The sequence below is a fragment of the Homo sapiens genome, chromosome 15, assembly GCF_000001405.40.
Source record: "Homo sapiens chromosome 15, GRCh38.p14 Primary Assembly".
Classification (NCBI taxonomy): Eukaryota; Metazoa; Chordata; class Mammalia; order Primates; family Hominidae; genus Homo; species Homo sapiens.
This window is the reverse complement of record NC_000015.10, coordinates 52,510,831-52,529,899: the sequence shown is the minus strand read 5'-3', so window position 1 is coordinate 52,529,899 and position 19,069 is coordinate 52,510,831. Positions and strand designations below refer to the sequence as shown.

General features: G+C 43.0%; 1 protein-coding gene across 10 annotated transcripts in view, besides 1 other annotated feature; it reads left to right on the top strand.

The window, feature by feature from the left end:
- Positions 491-1,370: a silencer, noted in NCBI's record as "silent region_6447". NCBI's record gives its function as "represses an Ori minimal core promoter by ATAC-STARR-seq in GM12878 lymphoblastoid cells {active_cell/tissue: GM12878}" and the evidence as "EXISTENCE:reporter gene assay evidence [ECO:0000049][PMID:35858748]".
- MYO5A (myosin VA) overlaps positions 850-19,069 on the top strand; it is a 221,768-nt gene continuing 203,548 nt past the window's right edge. For 5 of the 10 annotated variants that reach the window (XM_047432544.1, XM_047432543.1, XM_047432540.1 and 2 more), the window contains 1 exon segment: positions 850-1,120. In XM_047432544.1, coding sequence (XP_047288500.1) covers positions 1,094-1,120 — 27 coding nt within the window. In that variant the 5' untranslated portion in view covers positions 850-1,093. 10 annotated transcript variants of the gene reach the window in all.

Here is a 19,069-nt window from a genome sequence, read left to right as displayed (position 1 = left end):
TCCATGTAAGTACTCCGTCATTTTCAGGTGGCAACCGGATAAACTTCAGGTGCCACCATGGAGCCGACAATCACCAGCAGCGAACAGGACGGGAAGAAGGCTGGGACAGAAGGGTAGTTGCATCTCCGCAAACGCACAGGTCTAGGAAAGAGGCACCTGGGCTGTCCCCGGGCTATCTCGTTTCAAAGTCACTTAAGTTTCTGTAGCTTAGAAGCGGCCCTTGCCCTCTGGTATCGGGAGACGACTTTGCTGCAGACATCGAGGTGCTCGGAATGACCTTGGTGATCAACCTTAACCTGAAATTCCCGGTCCTGCATTGCCCATCTCCCGGGTCACTGCTGCTGACAAGGCTCTTCTACAGTCCTGGGTTATTCTACAGTCTTTCAAGAGGGCTTCCCCTAAATCCTCTCCCTAGGAATGCTTGGAAGGACGGGAGGAGCAGCCTGGAGGCTCCCATCGTTTATTCGGACACAGTAACAGCCCGTGCCATGGCTGCGCTACCGCGGGAGCTAGGCTCCGCAGCAGAGGGCCCCGGGCTCGCTTCGGGGTGGGGGCGCCCGGGGTGTGCCGCGCCCTCGGGGCTCACGTCCCGGGCGGGTTTCCGGGCCTCGGCAGGGCGCGAGGCGGCGGCGGGGCCGGCTGGCAGGCTGATGATGATGATGCTCTGTGCTCGTAGCCGATGGGAGGCAGCGTGAGCCCGAGAGAGCCCAGAGCAGCCGCGGTGGCAGCGCTGGAGCGCAGCCTCCTCCCGCTCCCATAATGCACAGGGCGGCGGCGGTGGCGGCGGCGGCAGCGGAGGCAGCATCGCGGGCCGCCGAAGTGGCTGCGGCGGCGGCGGCGACCCCTAGGACCCCGGGCAGGTGGAGCGCTCGCGGCTGCTCGCGGCGAGCCCGGGAGTGATGGCGAGGCCCCTGCGGGCGGCCAGCGCCTGAGGCGCCCCGCCCCGCCCCGCCCCGCGCGGCCCTCCCCGCCCGGCCCTGCCCTGCCCTGCTCCCTGCCGGCGGCTGCGGGCGCTTCCTAGTCCGCTCGGGCGGCCGCCCAGGCGAGGTGCGGCCTCCGCACAGGCGGGGGGCGTAGGCGCGCGGGGCCCGCCATGGCTGCGTCGGAGCTCTACACAAAGGTAAGGCACCCCGCGGCCGGCGTCGAGGACTGGGGCTGTGCGGCCCTCGCCGCCAGCTGTCAGGCTGGGGAGGGGGCGGGAGCGCCGGGCCCAGGCGAGCCCCACCAGCGCCATCCCCTTCAGCGCCTCAGAACCCTCGGCCCTACCAGCCGGTCGCCCGCTGCGGCACCTTCCTCTTTCGGGCGAGATGGTGAAGGCGGCGGAAGGTGGCCCGCCTCGGGGGTCTCCCAGGCCCCTGCCGCGCTGCTCGAGCTGGGGGCAGAGCGGGCTTCGGAGTGGAAAGGGGGCCCATGTGGATTTAGCAGGGCGGGCGTGCCTCCCCTCCTGCTTGGCTTTGGAAAATTCCCGGCGGGTGGGAGATGCTTGCTCCAGTAGATCGGATGGGTTCTCTCGTGGGGACACGCGCTTAAAATAACGTCTTGTGTTGGTATGCAGTGCCGCTTCTACCGCCAGCTAGCCTTTCTGTGAGGTTATTTTGAATCCTGCAAACGGTGGCCGTATCACCTTTAGCTCCCCAGTTTAGCTGCGCTGGGGGTGGCGAGCCCCGGGGAAAGATGCTGCCGGATGAACGCGAGCTGATTCACCGGCTGGGAGGGTCGGTACTCATTTATCGCTGGGAGTTTGCAACCTGCGTGTAATCCCGCAGAGCCTTGTTAGGCTCCATGTCTTTACCATCCTCTGGGGCAAGCCTTTCCCTTCTGGGTTTGGTTTAAGGGAAGTGGCAGTCTTTTCTTAGACTGACATCAATATACTCAGGGTCTGGCGATCTCTGAATGACATATTATGGAGAACTGTCACTTGAGTGCTGCGCAGATTTGTGATGACCTTTGTGAATATATGTAATCATGGCATTTTATACTGTACACTCATGTGTAGGTAGATATTTTGCCAGATATTGATTACTTCTACATGCAGTTAATAGAGTTGCCTTTTCACATTAGCTTTTGCAACAGAACTTTCATTTAGGGTCCTGTAATCACTGGAATCATTGTTTCCAAATGTCACTGAAGTCCAGGGCCCAAGTTGCAGTGTGTTTTGTAGAGGAAAGAAGACTGGGCATCAAGAGACCTGGATTCAAGCCGGGACTTACTAACTGTGACCTTGGACAAGTCACTTAACATCTCTGGTTCGATTTCCTAATGAGTAAATGCAGTTAATTATACTTGCCTTGCATCCCTTACAAGCTGTTGTGAGAATCAAACTTAATAATCGTTGTGAAAGCTTTTTGTAACCTATGAATTTCTCTGCAAATATGAGATATATGATTAATTTCTTCAACCATGAAATGAGCTTGCATGAAACATTGTCTGAGACCTCTTTCTTTCTAGTTTTAGATTTAACGACTGTACAGTTGGAACTTCTCTCTCAACCTGGTAATTTCTTTAGGCATTGTAGATCTCTAACATATGAACGAATGCAATTGGAAACTGATTAAAAGTAACTTAAACACTTAATATGGTGCTTGCTATGTGCCAGGTACTGTTTTAAGCGTTTTAAAAATATGAACTCATAATCCTCATAAGGAACTTATGAGGTCGATATTAAGAAATATCAAAATCATTTTCACATGAAGAGATAATCAGTCTGTAAACATTCCTTGGTTACTTTGTGTAGCCCATCCCCTCCACTTCTACATCAAGTTTGTCCAACCCGCAGCCCATGGGCCGCATGTGGGCCCAGGACGGCTTTGAATGTGCCCCAACACAAATTCATAAACTTTCTTAAAACATGGGTTGTTGTGTTTTTTTTGCAATTTTTTTTTTAGCTCATCATTTATCATTAGTGTATTTTATGTGTGGCCAAAGAAAATTCTTCTTCCAGTGTGGCCCAGGGAAGCCAAAAGATTGGACACCCTCCGTTCTATATGGTGAGCAGTCATCTTTGAGTCACCTAATAGTAGGCTGCTTAACTAGAGACTGAGTGGATAATAAATTGTTGTTGGATTTCGAATGCTTTTTTCCCCCAGGATAATTTGGGAGAAAAAATTGAAAAGATGTTGTGATTTGTAAATGGTAAAGTTTTGGGCTTCTGTCACAGCTTTATCACAATCTATTTTAAAATTTACCTTTTAACAGCCTGAGGAACATAATGAGACCTGGTCTCTACAAAAAAATTAAAAAGTTAGGCTGGGCACGGTAGCTCACGCCTGTAATCCCAACACGTTGCCGAGGTGGGTGAATCACCTGAGGTCAGGAGTTCGAGACCATCTTGACCAACATGGCAAAACCCCGTCTCTACTAAAAATAGAAAATTAGCTGGGCGTGGTGGCGCATGCCTGTAATCCCAGCTACTCAGGAGGCTGAGGCAGGAGAATCACTTGAACCTGGAAGGCGGAGGTTGCAGTGAACCAAGATCGCGAGCCTGGGCAACAAGAGCGAAACTCTGTCTCAAAAAATAAATAAATAAATAAATAAAAATTAGCTGGGCGAGTTAGTCACGCCTGCGGTCCCAGCTACTCGAGAGCTGAGGCAGGATGATCAGCTGAGGCAGGAAGATTGCTTGAGCCTGGGAGGTTGAGGCTGCAGTGAGCCATGACTGTGCCACTGCACTCCATCCTGGGCAAAACAGCAAGACCGTGTGTTGAAAAAAAATTTTTTTTAACCTCTTTGTCATTATAAAGACAGACTGGCTTAGAGATCAAGACTGAAGTTGGGGCTTACACTGCCTTCTTCTAAATATACTTATGCCTAATTAATAGTCTGGTTACTTGGTTATTTGTTGGCAAATTCTTTTTGTGAATGGGCCTTAGCTTAATGGCAAGCAGAAATACTTATCAGGCATCCTGTGTGCCAGGTACTTTGCTTAATGTTTAGAGGATTTAACAATGAACAAGATACAGTCCTTTCCCTCAACACGCTCATAGTCTGCTTCTTACATTCTTGACCCACTTTGAATCTATAGGGGCATAAATAACCTGCTGTTACCTCAACAGCAGGCAGACAGCTGGTATGATATTTATTAGTAGAAGTTAGGGAATGGGTTGGGACATGGGGAAGGTTGGGCTGATTCCAGAGATAAAAACTACTATTGTAATTACTAGAGGAATAGGAAAATCATTAGAAGTATTATCAGTGGATAAGCACAAGGATCTTCCCCTTGCAGAGGATTATAGGAAGGAAGTTCTAGGATAGATTACAAGGAAAGATGTATTAGTGATATGCCATAATTATGGTATTTAACATTGTGGTTAAATCTGAAAAGTGCTCTTTAAAAAAATGTCATTCAGATCTTAAGGGCAGATTTTAATGTGTGATACAGATCAGTTCCTATTACAGTGAAGGACAAGAGACTGTTCAATTTCTTCTTTTTAGCCAGAATGGTAATGGTTTTGTCACAGCAATTTAACAAGGCTTCCATTTTGTAAGTTTTTCCAGCAGTATAAACATTTTAAGGACAATAGCTAGGTTCTTGGGATACTTGTCTGGAAACGAATATTTTGGTTAAAACATGTTTTGTTGATTTTTAAAAATAACAGCTTTATTGAGATATGTGTCTTATACCATATAATTCACCATTTAAAGTGTACTATTCAATGGTTTTTGGTTTATTCACAGAGTAGTATGTTGATGTGTTTGTGGTCAACCTGCCTTGCTCCCAAAAGAATTAAAGGAAACTATGATATCTCATTGCTTCTGATTTTGAAAATATTTGCTAGTCTTGACTTGCCAGTGGATATCTATATCATACATCATCCATAGGTGCTTTTGGTAACTAGAAGCAATTCTACATTTGTGGAGTAGGGTTTATCAATTAGACCTAGAAGGATTATCGGGAACATTATAATGAATGGCATGCTATTCCTCCTGTCATCATGTTCCCAGACACCATGGATAGCACCATGGTATCCATGCTATAGGATGGTCAAGATTACTTGAAGCTGGGTTTTTTTTTTTTTAATTTTTTATTTTTTTTGAGACAGGGTCTCACTGTGTCACCCAGGCTGGAGTGCAGTGAAATGAACATGGCTCACTGTAGCCTTTAACTCCTGGGCTCAAGCTGTCCTCCCACCTCAGCCTCGTGAGTAGCTGGGACCACAGCTATGCACCCAGCTAATTTTTAAATTTCTTCTAGAGATAGTCTCAGTATGTTGCCCAGGCTGGTCTTAAACTCCTGGACTCAAGTGATCCTCCTGCTTCCACCTCCCATAGTGTGGGATTACAGGCATGAGCCACCACACCCAGCCTATTTTATTTATTTATTTATTTATTTATTTATTTATTTATTTAGGTTCAGGGTCTCACTCTGTTGTCCAGGCTGAGGTGTAGTGGTGTGAACATGGCTCATTGCAGTATCGACCTCCCAGGTGCAAGCCATCCTCCCACCTCACCTTCCTGGGTAGCTGAATCTACAGGCATGTGCTACCAAACCCAGCTAATTTTTGTACTTTTTACAGAGACAGGATCTTGCTGTGTTGCCCAGGCTGATCTCTAACTCCTCAGGTCAAATGATTCTCCTGCCTCGGCCACTCAAAGTGTTGAGATTACAGACATGAGCCACCATGCCTGGCTTATTTTTAATTTTAAAAAAGTTTTAATTTTTTTGTTTACTTTTGTGTTTTGTTTTGTTTTTACCTGAAGCTGTTTGATTAGGAGGTTCCCATGTGTGCTGAGATGCTGAGTATTGTAACAGTGCAAAGACAATCTAAAATTCCACATTTGCAAAGCATGTTAACTTGCCTAGATGAAACAGCTCTTAAGGTCAGTAGATTGTATATGTGTAACTTTCCATTCCCAACATATCCTCTCATATATACAGGAGCCACATGGCCTAGATTTTTTCTGGGATAGATCCACTTTTATATTCTATGGCACTGTCTCTTCAAACTACTGATCTTGGAAATTCTAATATTTTCATGTCGAGACTGTATTTCTCAGACTGCTTCCAACATCTTAAAGAGGAACAGAAATCTCATCTCTGATCATGTGCCCTGACTTGGAGTTTGGCAAGGATGTTAGCTGTCCTCAAGTCTCCTGTCATGCCCTTTCCATTTGAATTTCCTCCTGGTGTTCCTAGGCCTGTTAACGACTTGCTGTTCTCCTAGTTCCGCAGCTTGGAAACCTCCGTATCTTTTTTCTTGTCTTTCACATTCGACTTCTTCTATATCAATTCTAATTTCAGTTGACATCCAGCTGATAGCTCAGATTTGGAACTCCCACTAGTACTCTTTTTCTCTGTCTTAATGTCCCAAACATGTTTCTGTCTTATTACGGTTACTGTATTTGTGTATATGTTTACCACTCCCACGATACTCTAAGCCCCCTGACATGCTGTTTTGTTTACCTCCTGTAGAGCCTAGCCCAGTGTTACACAGAATAGCTGCTCATTGAATATTTGTTGAATGAATACTTAAGCAGGGGAGGGATGGAATGAAAATAATGGTTTGGCATGATCAGTCCACTTGTAGGGACGAAGCAGGGTATAAAGATGTGGTTAAACAAGTAAACACATTTTCAGGCATGTTGAACAGGATGAGTAATAGAACTGGGAACCAGGGAGACCAGGAAACTTTCAGGAAACAAAATGTGAAGTGGTGAAGGTCTGGTGGACTGAGGCAGGGGCAGAAGGTGTGGGAAAGAAGAGGATAAATCCGAGAGACAGGTCTCTCCGAGATGGATTACATATAGGATGGGAAGGAGCAGGAGTAGTATGAAATAATGCCAGTAGCTCCAGACTTGGAAACTGAAAATTAATTCCTGTTTCATCACAAATTTTGACTGCCTCTGTGGAACTTGAATGCTACTAAGAAATACTTCTTTACATAGCTTGACAAAGCAAAATGCCCATTATTTCCTCTTGAAATTTGTTACTGTTTCTTGAAGTGTGAAAGTTTTGTGTATTGTCCAGAAAAGATTACAGAGAGATTCTGATTCTAATGAGAATTGCTGCTGCCACATATTTTAGATCTTCCTGGTACTTTTAGCTTTTTTTTTTTTTTTTTAAATAATGAAAGAGAACTGGAGGAAGCTTTATGAATGGGCTTCCAGGGATTTAACTGTAACCTCAGGGGAGGGGTGACAGGGAATGCTAACTCGTGTATGGGAGAATGTGGGAGAGGAGAGATGATCCGCCTTACTTCTTACCTCAGAAGGTAATTTAGTTTCTCTGTTTTTCATTTTATGATGAATTTTGCCTCCATTGGGAGAATTCAGGAGTACGTGGTCCACTAGAGGATAGACTTGGATGTATTTGTCTCCACTTCAGGCAATTCCCAGTGAAGTATGAGGTACTGTTGGAAGTCTAAACTTCTGATCTGTGGAGTAAGGTCTGGCCATAGACAAAATATTATGTGAGCAATTCCACTTCTTCCACCTCACCTGAAGGCATGTCCTCCATCCTACAGTGGTCTTCCTAGACTTATTCTATTTATCTTCCTAGGGAGTTTGTCCTTTTCTCCCCAGCACCACCCCACTCCCAATCTTTCATCAACTTTATTGAGGTATAATATACTTGAAAAGTCCCTCATTTTAAGTGTACAGTTTGATGAGTTTTGACACATATATTCTGTCATGTAACCACCGCCACAAACAAGATGCAGAACATTTCCATCACCCCAAAAGTTCCCTTGTGCTTTGTCTCTTATCTTCCCCAACATCTTCAGGGAGTTTACTGGAGTTATGCTTGCTCATTAGGGCAGAAGGAAGTTTTTTCTTTTTGGTTTTTCCGAAATGAATGCTATGGTTCCACCTTAGCCCAACCAATAGAGATACTTATTACAAAGGCCTGGCATTGGAGATCATGGCTGTGGAGTTTCATTTTCAGTGGGAGGCGGAAGTGGATATAAAAGGAGTTTAGATGATTTTTGTTTAATCTTTCCTTCACACACTGACCACTTTGCCTTTATTAATGATGTCTGCCTTTGATGCCTTCTGAAATGCCCTTTGGTTAATTTTGCCCTTTAACGGTTCCTCTTCCCCATCTGTCTTGGTTGTAACATCAGTCTGAGTTTGTGCTGATACAACCTAAACTTTGCAGAAACTTATCCCTGGCTCTTCATGCCTCAGGCATTCTCCATTTCTCTTCTAAGCCCTCCTCACTTGGAATTCTTTTTAACTAGCAGGCATTAGCGTTAAATATCTCCTTGTACAGCAAAGGCTTTTTGCCAATTGTAGAACTTAGGGATGATGTAATTATTTTTTGATTTCAAAATAATGGTTCTAAACTTGATTGAAATCAAGGGAGAAGTGCATTGTACATAATGCACTAAGTGTTCATGAGGACCATGTATCTACCTCCTGTGGCCTAATGTACTACTGTGGCCAAAAATGTGGGCAAGATGCTGGGCTAGAGGGAGACTGGATGCACAAAAAAGATAGGTTTTGTCCATCTTTTGTCACATATACAAAAACATATAGTCCTGGCCAGGAATCCTGCATGTGTGGTTGGGGTTTCTACTTCTTGACAAATGTACATGAAACTAGAGAAATTTCAGAATAGGAGAAGTAAAATGATCAGGGCAGTGAAGAGGCTAGACAGATTAAAGGTGTCGAACTCTCTAGTTTAGAAAGATGAAGGTGAGCTGGGAATACAGTAGAGGTTTTTTTTTTTTTTTTTTGAGACAGAGTCTCGCTCTGTCACCCAGGCTGGAGTGCAGTGGCGTGATCTCAGCTCACTGCAACCTCTGCCTCCTGTGTTCAATCGATTCTTCTGCCTCAGCCTCCCGAGTAGCTGGGACTACAGGCATGTGCCACCACCCCTGGCTAATTTTTGTATTTTTAGTAGCGATGGGGTTTCACAGTACTGGCCAGGCGGGTCTCGAACTCCTGACCATGTGATACGCCTGCCTCGGCCTCCCAAAGTGCTGAGATTACTGGCGTGAACCACTGTGCCCAGCCCTATAGTAGACTCTTTGACATCCAGAATAGTGGAAGTTTGTAACATCAAATCTCAGTTTAGTAGGGATATGTTTTAGATCTTGAAACAAATCAATATATGCCATTTTAAATGAATTTCTACTTTAAACATTTACATTTTACATTTCTGAAACTCATCACTTCAAGTTATGGTATTAGCTGAGGTACAGGATGTAAATAGAGAGGGTCTGGGTAATTTATGGATGAGAGGTTTGGCACATTGACTTACCAAACCTCTCTTTAACAGTGTTAGTCAGTTTACCAGCCACAGCTGTTTTAGTTGGAAGAAACAGAAACCCAAACTCAAAGCCAAAGAGGAGTTTATTTGCTCATGTGACTTAAAAATCTAGGCATGGCTGGAATCAAGGCTCAGACATGGTCATTGGGGCTCTCTTCACTGACTCTCACATGCTGTCTGACATTGGTTTCATCCTGAGGGCAGCTTTTTTTAGGGGTGAAAAGATGGTCAGTGGCACCTGCAGATCACATGATCTTACAGCACTGGGCCTGGAGGAAGAGAGCCTGATAGAGGAATTCTGGTCATGTGCCTTCTCCTTTCATTGGGCCTCTAGGCAGTAGGTGAGGAGCACCATGAGTGGTCAAGTCTGTGCTCACCCCAGAGACCAGGGGGAGGACAGGGCACTGTGATTGATAGTCCTACTCCAACCTCATGGGATGGCTGTGAGCTGTTCGCCATTGGAAGGAAAAGTGCTAGGTAGTCAAAATAAACAACTACCCTCAGTCCATGTATGCTATGAATAGGTCACTGAAAATGATAGTCATGGAATTCTACCCCTCCTTTTCTGATCTTTGAGCAAGAAGAATGGGAAATTTTGCTTGACCGGGGACATTAGGTATCTTTCCCCTAGAGAATCATTTTGGATTGAAAAATAGAAGCCAGGCCAGGTGCGGTGGCTCATGCCTGTAATCCTCAGCACTTTGGGAGGCCAAGGCGGGCGGATCATGAGGTCAGGAGCTTGAGACCAGCTTGGCTAACACGGTGAAACCCTGTCTCTACTAAAAATACAAAAATTAGCCGGGCGTGGTGGCGTGTGCCTGTAATCCCAGCTACTCAGGAGGCCGAGGCAGGAGAATCGCTTGAACCCGGGAAGCAGAGGTTCCAGTGAGTTGAGATCGTGCCGGTGCACTCCAGCCTGGGCGACAAAGCAAGACTCTGTCTCAAAAAAAAAAGCCATGGAGCGTCTGTGCAAGCAAATGTTACTAATAGCATGTTAGAAATTGAAATTTTGAAAATTTATTCAGTCTTCAATTTTGATTTTTCATGTATTATTATTATTATTATTATTATTATTTTTTTTAGACAAGGTCTCGTTCTGTTGCCCACACTAGAGTGCAGTAGCGCAAGCATAGCTCACTGCAGCCTCGAACTCCTGGGCTCAAGCAGCCCTCCCAGCTCAGCCTCCTGAGTAACCGGGACTGTAAGCGCATGCCACCATGCCTGGCTAATTTTTTAATTTTTGTAGAGACAGAGTCTCACTTTGTTTCTCAGACTAGTCTCAAACTTTTGGCTTCAAGCAATCTCCCACTTAATTATCCCAAAAGTGCTGAGATTATAGGCGGGAGCTACCATGCCCGGCCATTATTCAGTCTTAATTTGGGGGCTATGAACCCTATGTCACCTTTCTTACTGATTTCTTTCTACCGTATTTCCTCAGCATTTTATTTCCCCTATTTTCTTCACATCCTTGCTTGCATACGTTATTCTCTTCCCCTATTTTCATACATAGATAAGTTGCACGATTTCTTATTGCACAACAGTAAGAATTGTGCACAATTTCTTTTTGCCTGTCCGTCATTCCTTGTTCATGTCTAGTGGTAGTCTGTCTTCTGTTCTCTTCCTTCCACCTGTTCATCTGCTTTATCCCCCTACTATTTAATTTTATCTACCCACCCCTTATGCCCTGTTATGATTTGTTATAACGAAGTATATATACATCCCACACCTATAATGGAATAAAATAAGTTACTAAAGGGTGAATCTTTTTTTCATAACTTAGATTGAGGAGGGAACTTCATTTTTGTTTTTGCTTTATTACCACTCCCTGATCTGACATCACAAAGGAAGTCATTTTTTATGAGTTTGCATAAATCATTTTCTGTGTTTGTGAGCATGTTTATGTGTTTCAAACAAACACTTTTGTGTTAGACTAGTTTTAGACTAGTTAGACTAGACTAGTTCAACCTTAGTTTTTTAGCTTACCATACTGGTCTGCATTACAGTAAGATGACTAGATATTCCTTTAAAGATATGATCTCACCTTAAAACACTTTTCTGCCAGTACTTAAACAACTTTTACACGGGGTTGGTCTCTCTATGCTTAAGCTTAGAAAAAAATCTTCTAGTTTGATAAGCAGCATGGTTGGGTTGGGAGCAGAATTTTTCTGGAGATGCTGTCTGTAAAATTGGGAAATGTATATCTTAATAATAAGGAATTTTGGTCCACAACCTAGATTACATTTTCATAAAGTCGGAATGTGTATTTCTTGTTTAAGAAATGAAAATGTTAAGCCCCTTAGAGTTACTATTGCATTTTAACCCACTCTTACTGTTTATACTAATTTTTTTCATCCTTGACCAAAATTTCTCAACCTCTGCACCACTGATAGTAGGCTGGATAATTCTTTTTTTTTTTTTTTTTTTTTTGTGGGAGGGGTGGCTCTCCTGTGTATTGTAGTATGTTTAGCCAAATCTCTGACCTTTATCTATGAGATCCAGTAGCACCCTCCATCCCTAGTTGTGACAACCAATATTGCCTACAGACATTGCTAGATATCTCTTGGGATGGTGGGGATGGGGGAGAATCACACAAACCCTTGAAACTGCTAAACTAGATGATAAGCCTTCAACTTAGGGTAAGAACAAGTAGGAAGAAATTAATTGGGAAATTAGAATTAATTGGGAAAACTTTTTTAAAAAGTTGATTTATAAGCATTTTTTTTCTGCTTGTAGAAGTGATGCCTTGTAGCTAATCTGGATTATTTGAATAATACAGAACATATAAGGGAAGAAAGTTAAAATAAACTAATTATACCACCTAGAAATAATCATTGTCAACTATTGATTTACTTTGTTAAGTCTTTTGTCTATATTCACAAATGGTAATGATTTTTAAAATGATTTTTAAACTTAATATGTATTGTGAGAATTTATATCAATAAATATTCGTTGAAAAAATATATCTGTATATATATTTTTTGAGACGGAGTTTCGCTCTTGTTGCCCAGGCTGGAGCACATTGGTGCGATCTTGGCTCACTGCAACCTCTGCTTCCTGGGTTCAAGTAATACCTCTGCCTCAGCCTCTGGAGTAGCTAGGATTACAGGCACCCAGAGTAGCTGGGATTACAAGTGCCTGCCACCACGCCTAGCTAATTTTTTGTACTTTTAGTAGAGACGGGATTTCACCATGTTGGCTAGGCTGGTCTTGAACTCCTGACCTCAGGTGATCTGCCCACCTCAGATTCCCAAAGTGCTGGGATTATGGGTGTGAGCCACCGCCCCCAGCCCACTGAAAATATTTTTAATGGCAGCATAATATTCAGTCATCTGGGTATACCAAAATGTATTTACTGCTGGGTATTTTTCACTAATGGAAGTGATATGTTATGGTGAGCATCTTTGTTCATAAGTCTGCTTAGTCAGTTTTAGTTAATTTTAGAATTCAAGTCTCCCTAGCAAGAATTAGCATTTGTATTTATGCAGGATAGGGCATTCACATTCACTTCATTTTAAAAATAGCACTCTTTATGTGCATTGCCTGAGGGATAGGGTGACCAGATGTCCCACTTCTAGAAGATGCTTTCTGCTTTTTAATACCTTTATTCTGTTTTGAGAAATTTTCTTAGACTAGAAACATATAAGTTCATTTCAAAAATTTAACCTTTTAAAAATTGAAACTGCTTCTTTTTCTGACCATTGTCATTATTGTTGCTTTTATTCACTCTGTTTCTTGATCTTGGATCAATCTGTGCCAGAGAGAATAATTGAACTAGAAAGAATTTTAAAAAGAGAAAAAACATGAAGCTTCTAAATTACTATACATGATATAATTTTAGTTTGAAAATTACCTGATAATATGTTATCAGGACATTGTAGACATGTCCTCCTAATTAGAACAAATTAACAGTGTCTGGAGAAGGCCATGCCTTTGCTTTCGGGGACAGTTGAGAACCCGAGAGTCCTTCAGCATCAACAACCTGCTTTGTAAAACAATTAGAATGGAGCAAAATATGCCCAATGCTAAAGGAGCGTTATAGAATGGAATCTTTATAGCAGTCAGAAGGTGTTTTGGGATTAGTGAGGCCTTCAGGTCATTGCCGTGTGTAGCAGCCCTTCCGAAGGACTAGGATCACGGCAGTAGCCACAGACCTGGGCAAGGGTTGATTGTGTGGAGCCTTAGACATTAAAGGCATAGGAAACTGAGTTGAAGCCTTAGCAGCCTTGGAAGTTTCTTTGCTTTTCTTCCTCCACTAAAACCTTGATTTTTTTTAACCTTATATAGTTGTTACTTGTTTTCTTGTAAAGACTGTGGCTCAGTCAAATGTGTGGTTCCATGGCAGTAAATTATCAAATAATAGTGATTAATATTTACTGAGGCTTTACTGTAGGCCAGATACTATTCTGAGGGCTTTGTTGCAACTGTTTCCTTCCTTGCCTTCCAACCCTCCCAGGGTCCTGAAAGCGAGGCAGTACATCATAGAAGTCAAGGGCATGGAATCCACACCTAGATACTGGATCTTGGTTTGAATCCTGGTTTTGCTATTCTACTTTCTCTGTGTCTTTAAGCAAGCCACTTAACCTCTTTATGCTTCAATTTCCTTATCTTTATAATGGTGATAATAAAACCTACCTTATGTGGTTTTAATGATGACTGACTTATAATATATTAAGAAATGCTTAGAATAGTGACCGGTATTTAGTAAATTCTTACAAGTATTAGTTATTACTATTGTTGCTGTTATAGCTGTCATTCTCCTTTCTCTCTGTCTGCTTTCTCATCTTCTTAAGCTCACTTACCTCCTATTGCACCTTAGATATTGATGTTCCTGGGCTCTGTCCTTGACCTACACTCCCTCCCACTGTGGCCTGATCCAGTCCTGAAGAGTCAGGTGCCAGCCCTGTGCTGATGACTTCCAAACCTGTTTCCAGCCTGCTTGCTCTTCCTACAAACCTAGATCCCTACAGACAACTGCCTTATGGACATCTTCACAAGCCCCCCAAACCCAGCATATTCAAAATCGATTGTCATCTGCTCCCTCCTTCTTCATACTACCCTACCTGATTTAATTTCTCTGTGTCTTAGTTTCTACATCTGTATGATGGCATAATACTTACTTCATAGGGTTGTTATGAAGATTAAATGAGATAGTACATGGGAAGCACTTAGAATAATGCCTGGCACATATTTAAGAAATGTTAGCTACTGTCATTGTTGTTGTTATTTCTTTTTCCTGTCTGGTGAATGACATCAGTATCCCTCCAGTAACCCAAACACAAAACTTAGAAATCGTCTTGATTTACTTTCCCCCACACCCCTGCACCCCACCTAATCAGTTATCATTTCCTAGTACTGTTACTGCTCTATTTGGGGCCCTTATCTTTTTTTTCTTTCTTTCTTTCTTTTTTTTTTCTTGAGACAGGGTCTTGCTCTGTTGCTCAGGCTGGAGTGCAGTGACGTGATCATAGCTCACTGCAGTCTCGACCTTGTGAGCTAACTAATCCTTCTGCCTTAGCCCCCCAAGTAGCTGGCACTATAGTAGCTGCATGCCACCACACCCAGCTAATTTTTTGTTTTTTGGAAACAGGGTCTCACTGTGTTGTCCAGGCTGGTCTTGAACTCCTGGGCTCAAGTGATCCTCCCACCCTGGCCTCCCAAAGTGCTGAGATTAGAGGTGTGAGCCACCATACTCAGCTTGGTCCCTTATTCTTTCCTGGTTCCTCAAACAGCTTCCTAAGCAATCTTTGGTCTTACTTTCTATAATCTGTTTTTTCATTCTGTTACTAGTGAGATCTTTGTAATGCACATATCTGAGCATGCCACTGCCTGGCTTGAAATTCCTTCATGATTCCCCATAGGATTTTGTCCTGAGAATAAATTTGTTAGTGTAATGCTTCCTGAACTTTGGTGTCCATCTGAATTACTAGGAATCTTGTTAAAGGGAAGATTCTGACTCAGTAGGTCTGTGACAGGGCATGAGCCTGCATTTCTAACAACTCCCAGGTGATGCCTGTGCTGAATTGAGAACCACACCTTGAGCAGTGAGGCTGTAGTACACAGGCTCTTCATGACCTGCCTTCGCCCTGGGCCTGCCTCATCTCTCATGTTTCCCTCCTGGCATTCAGTCTTCACTTTAAGTGAGGAGCTTGCCAACTTTGCCTTCTTCTGATTTCCAGCATTCCCCTTCCTGGATTACTTTTCATTCATGAATTAGTTCTTCCGGACCCCAGTGTGGCTAAGATGTTCCTTCTGTGTGTTCATATTGCCCATTCAGTTTACTTCTGTCCTAACCCTTTACTGCACTGCATTGCAGTTGTCTATCTCCCCTTTGCTTCTCTGAACCCCTTAAAGACAGGGAAAACATCTCATTTGTTTCATTTCATTGACAACTTTTTTGAGCTGTAATTCATATACCATACAATTCATTGTATAAAGTGTATAATTCAATGGTTCACATTTATTTTTTGACTCAGTATCTAGACCAGTGTTTGCTATGTAGTAGGTACCAAGTTAGTGATTGAACATATGAATGAGTGGAATTACAATAAATTATCATTGGAAAGTTTTTTCCAAATCTTCTTTGTATTTTTTGGATTTAACGAATCAGATCATTCAAATCATCTTATTTATTTATCAGTAACTCTTCATGTGCTTCCCCTCTTCTACTGCTCCCTCCCTTTGGCACCTGGGAAGGCAACCACTTTATTCTTCTCTTGGCCAGTTTTAACATGTCATTATAGATGACTTTCCTTAGTCTCTTGGCCAGTTTTAACATGTCATTATAGATGACTTTCCTTAGTCTCCAGTGCTTCCAGTTCTCTTTTTCAACCCATGCTATGAGGAGCAGTACTGACCCATGTCAGAGATCTCAACATGCTACTCTCTAGCTCAACACCCCTGAGTGGTACCCAATCACTTACTTCCCCAGCCTAGTTATTGGCTATAGAATTAACTTATTCTTGGCCGGGCGCAGTGGCTCATGCCTATAATCCCTGCACTTTGGGAGGCCGAGGTGGGTGGATCACCTGGGGTCAGGAGTTCGAGACCAGCCTGGCCAGCATGTTGAAACCCTGTCTCTACTAAAAATTAAAAAAAAAAAATTAGCTGGACGTGGTGGCACATGCCTATAATCCCAGCTACTCAGGACGCTGAGTCAGGAGAATCGCTTGAACCCAGGAGGTAGAGGTTGCAGTGAGCCGAGATTGTGCCACTGCACTCCAGCCTGGGCAACAAGAGCAAAACTATGCCTTTTTTTTTTTTAAGATGGAGTTTTGCTCTTGTTGCCCAGGCTGGAGTGCAATGGCACCATCTCGGCTCACTGCAACCTCTGCCTCCCGGGTTCAGGCTATTCTCCTGCCTCAGCCTCCTGAGTAGCTGGGATTATAGGCACATGGCACCACACCCTGCTAATTTTTGTATTTTTAGTAGAGATGGGGTTTTGCCATATTGGCCAGGCTGGTGTTGAACCCCTGACCTCAGGTGATCAGCCCATCTCGGCCTCCCAAAGTGCTGGGATTACGGGTGTGAGCCACCGCACCCGGCCAGCTTATTCTGTAGCCTGGTGATTAAGACTTACGATCTTTTTCTAAACCTACTGTCTTGGCTTGATCTTTCACAACACTGGAGTTTCTCAGACTTTACTATGTGTAGCAATCATCTGGAATACTTTTTTTTTTTTCCTGTGGAGACAGAGTCTGGCTCTGTCACCCAGGCTGGAGTGCACTGGTGCGATCTCAGCTCACTGCAACCTGTTTACCAGCATGGTCTCCGTCTCCTGACCTCATGATCCACCCACCTCGGCCTCCCAAAGTGCTGGGATTACAGGTGTGAGCCACTGTGCCTGGCCCTTTTTGCTATTTTTAAAGGCAACTGGAACAACTGCCTCACTTATATTAAAACATAATTGAGAGTCTTCTATGGCAAAAGAAGTTCCATTACCTTTGCTAATAATAGGTGTGAAATAGTATAGGAAATCACTCACAAAATTACTTGGGAACTCTTTTCCTTTAAAATAAACTATTTAAAAAGGTATAAAAATAATAAATGCCCAGGGTAGAATTTTGGAACATTTTGAAATGCAAAAGAAAAATTGTATGTAATCTCACTGTCCTCAGATACTCTTAATGTTTTGATGTATGTCCTTCTTGTCTTTTTCCCTATATATATATATATTTTTTAGCGAAATGATTTACTTTATGAATACTATTTTCTCTAAGAAGTATATTGTGAAGGTTTTCCCATGCCAATACGTGTTATTCTACAGTGTGTTTTTTTCATGACCTCAGAGTATTATATTGCATTAATCAGTCATATGTTACTGAACGAGACCCCTGCGATAAGGACTTCTAATTTTTTGACAGTTTACATTTAAACTGAAGATAACCAAAGCCTTTGTGTGTTTGTTTACAAAGAAATAAATTGTAGTCATTAATTAATTTAACTGTAATTGCAAAATATCCCATTTTTCTACTATAACAATATTGGAACACAAACTTGGTGAATTATGATATCAATTTTTTTTTTTTTTTTTTGAGACAGTCTTGCTCTGTCGCCTAGGCTGGAGTGCAGTGGCGCAATCTCGGCTCACTGCAAGCTCCACCTCCCGGGTTCACGCCATTCTCCTGCCTCAGCCTCACGAACGGCTGGGACTACAGGCGCCTGCCACCACGCCCGGCTAATTTTTTGTATTTTTAGTAGAGGCGGGGTTTCACCGTGTTAGCCAGGATGGTCTCGATCTCCTGACCTCATGATCTGCCCACCTCTGTCTCCCAAAGTGCTGGGATTACAGGCGTGAGCCACTGCGCCCAGCCGATATCAATGTTAAGATTAATCTAGTTAGATCTTAGAAGACCAAAAAACAAACAGAAATATCAAAGAACTCAGGAATAAATCCTTAAAAATAATTATATATTTGGGATCTCAGAGTATGCCAGGCACAACAGCTTACTAAAAGGCAGTTCTCCAAACTACAGAGGTAGATAGGTTAAGATTATTAATCAGCGGGCCAGTTAGCTCCAACCTGAGAGGGTAAAAGATCCCTTCCCATTCCAGTATTTTGGAAGCCATATAAGGATGAGTTGTATTATAACCTACACATTCTCATGTTAGCTGAGGAGACTACCCCTGAGTAATTAAAGGCACTCAAGATTTGTCAAGCTCTTGCATGCATATTTAATGGAATGATAGCCTCATTGCTCAGAAGCTGTTGGCTTTAGAAATGGAAAGGTTGACTTAGGCTAAAGGAAGGAGAAATATAGCAGAGGCAGTTATTCAAGAAAAAAACACATGTACTGAATCAGGAGAAGTAATGTGGGAAATAATCTCTGAGACAGACTGCGATCTGGAAAGATCTGAAAAGGAGTTATTTAGTTAATGTATTTCAAATAAGCTCCCCTGGTTTGCAGATTCCGTAATTAAATGTTTCTCATAATGAGTTTACAACTGAAATGTGTCTGGGAAACTGGCCAGGGGTTTTAAGGAGCCTGGTTCTTCAGAAGGCATTCACTTCCCTTGGGTCAGAGGTGGCATCTCCTAGGGTTGAAGAGTTTTCTGAGTCTGTGTAAGGAGCAGTGCCTTTGTCTCAGGAAAATGAGAATAGTCTGTGGACCATGCAGAAGTTGCCTCCTCAGTCACTGCCTGTGGGAGTCATTGAGGTCCAATTTGTCTTTTGGAGCTGGGGCCTCCACTAGGGTGTGTTTAAGGAGGATCTAGACAAAACCTGTATAGTACAGCTTAGCTGGTTAGATTGAGGATTAGGATGTCTCATTTGAGTTCACAAAAAATCAAAGTGATGGGTACAATTAAATGAAAGTCAGTGACTGTTTCACAAATCTGTAAGACTCATTTGTAATCTGTGCCATT